Below are 6,000 nucleotides of genomic sequence, written 5' to 3'. Positions count from 1 at the left end.
CTTGGAGCCTGCCCCAGTCCCTGGGCCCCAGCCTGGACCCGGGGAGCCCCGGGGCGGGAATCAGCGGGGACCCTGCACGTCCCAGGGCAGGGGGAACGGGGAAGGTGTCCCCGCCAGCCTGGTGCGCGGAGCCTGGCTCCTCGGCGCGCCTGAGCAGCGGCCCTGGGAGGGAGAGGCGTCGCGTTGCAAGAAAGCTGTTGGTAATAAGCGGAATTGGGTTTTAATGGGGTTCGCACAGATAGAACAGAAATCAAATTAGGGCCTAATTGGCATGCAGGAGGCAGCCAGAGCCGCGGCGGCGCGGCGGGCCCGCTGGGGCCGAGCAGCGCAGCAGCCCCCCGACGCCGCGTCCCGCCTGCGGGAGGCCTGGGCGCGCTGGGACCCTCTCCGGCGGCGACGCCCAGCCCCTGCACGGCCCCGCCCCTGCGTTTCGCCCTGGAGAACCGAGGCGCAGCCTGGGGACCAGCATCCCACTACAGCCCCGCCCGGGCAGCCTGGGAGGGGCCCTTTGACCTTGACCCCGCTCCTTGAAAACGCTGGAGCCGCTGAGAGCTTGCAGAGCTTGGCGTTGGCTTGGTTTGATTTATTTTGATTTTCCCTATTGATGGCAAAGGAAAAAAAAAAAAAAAAGAATGTAGGGGAGGTGGCACAGGGAAATAAAGTGGGACAGAAGAGGAGAAAGAGTATTGGCAAAAGGAAAAGGAACCGAACACCCAGTGCGTAATAATGAGAGCGATAACAGCAATGTTGGGTGCCGACCCTGGGCCAGGTCCTGAGCTGGCAGGTTGCAGGGATTTACAGCATGACTCCTGTGAGGTTTGATACTCCTCTTTTCATCTCACACGTGACGAACTGGAAGCACAGACGTTTAGTTGTTTCCTGAGGGTCACTCAGCAAGCAAACTGTGGTGCTCACGTTGCAACCCAAGGCTGGGGACTCCAAGGGTAATACGTGTATCTGTTTCTGCCACAAGCAGGTAAAAGTTTTTTTTAATTATTTTTTGTTTTATTTTTATGTTATTTTTTTGAGACAGTGTCTCACTCTGTCGCCCAGGCTGGAGTGCAGTGGGACGATCTCAGCTCACTGCAACCTCCGCCTCTCGGGTTCAAGCAATTCTCGTGCCTCAGCCTCCCGAGTTGGGACTACAGTCACGTGCCACCACGCCCAGCTAATTTTTGTATTTTTAGTAGAGATGGGGTTTCATCATGTTGGCTAAGCTAGTCTCGAACTGCTGACCTCAAGTGATCTGCCCACTTCGGCCTCCCAAAGCGCTGGGATTACAGGCATGAACTACCACGCTTGGCCCTATTTTTAATTTATTTTTATTAGGGACGAGGTTTCGCTATGTTGCCCAGGCTGGACTCGAACTCCTGGGCTTAAGCCATCCGCCTGCCTCGCCCTCCCAAAATGCTAGGGTTACAGGCATGAACCACCACAGCTGACCTTTTTTTTTTGTTTCTTACCTACTTTTTTTTTTTTTTTTTTGAGACAGAGTCTTGCTCTATCGCCCAGGCTGGAGTGCAGTGGCGCGATCTCGGCTCACTGCAACCTCCTAAGCAATTCTCTGCCTCAGCCTCCGGAGTAGCTGGGATTACAGGCACGTGCCACCACGCCCGGCTAATTTTTTTTATTTTTAATAGAGACGGGGTTTCACCATCTTGGCCAGGCTGGTCTTGAACTCCTGACCTCGTGATCCACCCGCCTCGGCCTCCCAAAGTGCTAGGATTACAGGCGTGAGCCACCGCACCCGGCCTTTTTCTTATCTACTTTTAAGAGCACTTACAAGATTCTCATAGACTGATGGTGCCTTGGTTTTATTGTTAACAATTCGAAAAGTTTTGAGATGGCATTTCTTTCCAAGATTTTACAATTCAGACTTTTGCTGTATCAGACGAATTTTATTTTACATCTGCCCTCTTTCCCTGTAGTGTCCTTGGAAGTCTTACAACTCCACAGACCACGTACTTCCTGGGCCAAAGAGCACTCCTAGTCTTTGGGGGGATAGAAACTGAGAGAAGCAAAGAGAGACCTCCACCATTCCAAGGTGGGTGAGCCGAGCAGCAGTAGTGATGCCAGGCAGGCGAGCCCCAAAGTGCAGCTTAGCGCCTGGGTTCTTGGCTTTGCCCAGGAAAGAATTCAAGGGCAAGCCAGAGGTAGAAGGAAAACGGCTTTATTGAAGAGGCCGTGTTACAGCTCCGTGACCGCTCCCGCAGAGCAGGGCTACCCCATAGACAGAGAGTAGCAGCTCAGGGCAGTTTTGCAGTCGTATTTATACCTACTTTAAATTGCATGCAGATTAAGGGGCGGTTCATGCAGAAACTTCTCGGGAAGGGGTAGTAATCATTGGGTCGTTGCCATGGAAAGGGGCGGTAACGCCCAGGTGTTGCCATGGCAATGGTAAATTGACGTGGCACACCGGTGGGCGCGTCTGATAGAAAGCTGCTTTTGCCGGCCCTGCTTTAACTAGTCCTCAGTCTGTTCCCGTGTCCCAACCCCACCTCTGGAGTCGAATTCCGCCTCCTACCTCAGTAGGAGTAAATAACTTGGAAGGAATACTGTAGCAACTCTCCTCAAGCATCCCCTGTATAGTATGTCCGCTCCTCAAACAAGTCTTCAAGGGAGGCATTTTAATCCCCCTCTTTTTTTTTTTTTTTTTTTTTTTTTTTTTTTTTGAGACAGAGGCTTGCTCTGTTGCCAGGCTGGAGTGCAGTGGCGCCATCTCAGCTCACTGCAACCTCCGCCACCGGGGTTCAAGCGATTCTCCTGTCTCAGCCTCCGGAGTAGCTGGGACTACAGGCTGCACCACCATGCCAGGCTAATTTTTTTAATTTTTTAGTAGAGACGGGGTTTCACCATGTTGGCCAGGCCAGTCTCAAACTCCTGGTCTCAAGTGAGCTGCCCACCTCTGTCTCCCAAAGTGCTGGGATTACAGGCATGAGCCACCAAGCCCGGCCTTTAATTCCCATTTTTAAGGCTCAGAGAGGTACAGTGACCTACCCAAGGTCACACAGTGAGTCCATGGTAGAACTGGTATCTGAACTCAGGTATGTCTGACCCCAGATCCCATGTTATTTTCCTGGCACTTTGCACATGGTGCTAAACAGTGATGACATCATCTCTTTCGGAAAGCACCAAGGATTAGCGTGGTGTGTTCTCTCAGCAGTTGGGAAATAGGATGTGCTGCTTCCATCCATGCTACAAACCCATCTTTGTCATCTTTTGGATACAACCAGAGTGAAGGAAACTTGGAATATCAGTTTCTGACAATTTCAAGCCTGATCTGTCTCCAAATGGAATCAGACATTTCTTGGTGGCAGCTGGCTGAGAACATTCCAGGGCAGCATTTTCCAATGCATATTACAGGAACATGTTCAGAATTGTTCATGAGATCATAGGCTCTGTGAACAAATGAACTGGGGAAATTTGGGAGGGATCAACCAAGTCAAACCTGCTTCTTTACAGCAGGACTTTTCAGAGCCTTTAATGTGTTCACAGGCATGGGAATCTCCAAGAGGATCAGTAGCAAAAAGCATTTTCCAAATAGAATTATGCATGGAATGCTTTCATAGAACACTGTGCAGGCAGGCATGACAGTACACACTTCGGGAAACATGACCAAGTGTGTTCCGAACTCAGCCCTTTAGAGTTCCAAATTGGTTGGGAGGTGGAACCTGCCCTCTGCATTAATCCTACTGTCTTCTTCCCTTAGGTGGGACATGTTAAAGTCCTGTTCGTGGAGAAAAGCTTTCGTGGTTGAATGAGAGAGTTGCAATTGTATCTATTTCTCTAGAGCATTGCCAGTTGCACTTTTCAATAAAAAATCTTCACATTTATGTCCTTATGGCTGTCCAGAGCATCATAGGGTATCTGAAGACTTACAGGCAAGTGAAATTATACTCAGAGATGCATGCAGCATGTTTAGCATTCAGCAAATCGTGGAGTTAGTGTTGGGGCTAGTGTTATTGATATCGTCATTAGACCCAGTTCCTGCCCTTGTGGAGTCCACAGTCTGGTCGAAAGAATAAAACACAGACCCTGCCACTACATTAAAAAAAAAAATTAGCTGGACAAGGTTAAAATGGCCAGGTATGGTTAAAATTGCCAAGCGTGGTGGTGTGTCCCTATAGTCCCAGCTAGTCGGCAGGCTGAGGCGGGAGGATTGCTTGACCCCAGGAGGTCAAGGCTGCAGTGAGCTATGATCACTCCACTGCATTCCAGCCTGGGCAACAGAGCAAGACCTCATCTCTTAAAAGAATAAAATAAAATACACACACCCAACATGATAACTAACAGAGCAGCTTGGTACATCTGCAACAAAGTCCAACTGCAAATATTTTGGAAGTATAGCTATTCTATTCCCCCAAGCACATTAAAAAATCTTTATTAGATTTTTAATTACAAAATTAATACAATGCCCATTGTTAAAAATAAGAAAAAAAACACTTTAGAAAGTAGAAAATAGAAAGCCAAAAGTTTCTCTCTTCATGCTTCAACTCCACCATCCCTAGAGGTAATCAACGTTAATGTGGTGTGGACCCTGCCAGACGTTTTTATGCATAAACAAACATGTAAATAAGGGATTTTCTTTTTACCAAAAAGTGGGTCATAAGATATACACTGCTTGTAACCTACTTTTTTCACTTAACTATACACTGCGGATCTCTTCTTTCAAATATGCCCAGATCAATCTCTCTTCCTACTCCCAGCTGACCCCATAAACCACAGACCCATCCCTTGGGCATAGGATAACTGGCCTGCTTTGTGAACCCCTGAGGAGGGAAAAGCTGTGAGAGCTGGCTCATCTGTTAAACATCTACTGTATGCCAAATGCATGTTCTTGGGGATTGAGACAGATGGAAAAGTGTTCAGATGGAGGGAACAGCATATGCAAAAGTATACAGGTGGGGCTGGGCGAGGTGGCTCACGCCTGTAATCCCAGCATTTTGGGAGGTCCAGGCGGGCAGATCACTTGAGGTCAGGAGTTCAAGATCAGCCTGGTCAACATGGTGAAACCCCGTCTCTACTAAAAATATAAAAATTAGTTGGCCTTGGTGGCGTGTGCCTGTAATCCCAGCTACTTGGGAGGCTGAGGCAGGAGAGTCGCTTGAGCCCAGGAGGTGGAGGCTGCAGTGAGCTGAGATCCATTCAGTGCACTCCAGCCTGGGCAACAGAGTGAGACTCTGTCTCAAAAAAAAAAAAAAAAAAAGAAGTGTACAGGTGGGAAGTTAGGTGAGCAAATCCCCGTAGTATGGGAAACGTACTTCTTTCTTTTCAATGCCTGAAGGCCATCGCATTCCGTGCATGTACCACGATTTATTTGCCCAGTCTCTTTCATTTTGAAATGCTTTTTATGAGAGATTGGAATGTCGCTAGCTTGGTGTGGTCAGAGGCTAAGCACCTAGAGGGCAGTGGGTCAGGTCTCTTTAGGTTTTATCCAGCGTCCCACGCCCTGTGTACACCATGACTATCACATTTATCAGCTAATTTCATGATTGTTTCCCAAGGCGCTTTGAACTGGAATCACCTGAGGTGACACTCTTTAACTTAGAAGCACACAGTCAAATGGCTAAACTTGGCGACACAAATGAGTGACTTGAGCATGTCACCAGCCACTTGTCACATTCACTCACACGCTCAAGGGGTCAGTTGTACTGCAGTAAGCTGGTTAACTAGCATTTGTCAGGCTCTCATGAATTGCTGAAATACAGCAATGGTGGCAGTAGGAGGGATCTAATTGCAAGGGCAAATATTTGTTCCTGTGGACAAGGAAATACGGAAGAGGGGCCCCTTTAGGAGTTTCCCAGGAGGCGTGGTGGCTCACGCCTACAATCCCAGCATTCTGGGAGGCTGAGGCGGGTGGATCATCTAAGGTCAGGAGTTCGAGACCAGCCTGGCCAACATGGCAAAATCCCATCTCTACCAAAAATACAAGAATTATCCAAGCGTGGTGGTGCATGCCTGTAATCCCAGTGACTGGGGAGGCTGAGGCAGGACAATCGC

General features: G+C 48.9%; 1 long non-coding RNA gene across 1 annotated transcript, besides 1 other annotated feature; it reads left to right on the top strand.

Moving 5' to 3' along the window:
• Positions 272-401: a silencer, noted in NCBI's record as "silent region_4902". NCBI's record gives its function as "represses an Ori minimal core promoter by ATAC-STARR-seq in GM12878 lymphoblastoid cells {active_cell/tissue: GM12878}" and the evidence as "EXISTENCE:reporter gene assay evidence [ECO:0000049][PMID:35858748]".
• Positions 426-3,833, top strand: LOC105370008 (uncharacterized). Its single transcript, XR_945395.3, has 3 exons — positions 426-976; positions 1,929-2,044; positions 3,710-3,833. It is a non-coding gene; the product is annotated as an uncharacterized LOC105370008 (long non-coding RNA).
• Positions 3,834-6,000: the final 2,167 nt, after the last annotated feature.

This window comes from Homo sapiens, chromosome 12, assembly GCF_000001405.40.
Source record: "Homo sapiens chromosome 12, GRCh38.p14 Primary Assembly".
NCBI lineage: Eukaryota > Metazoa > Chordata > Mammalia > Primates > Hominidae > Homo > Homo sapiens.
Note: the sequence above shows the minus strand (reverse complement) of the source record. Positions and strands in the feature narration are given on the sequence as shown.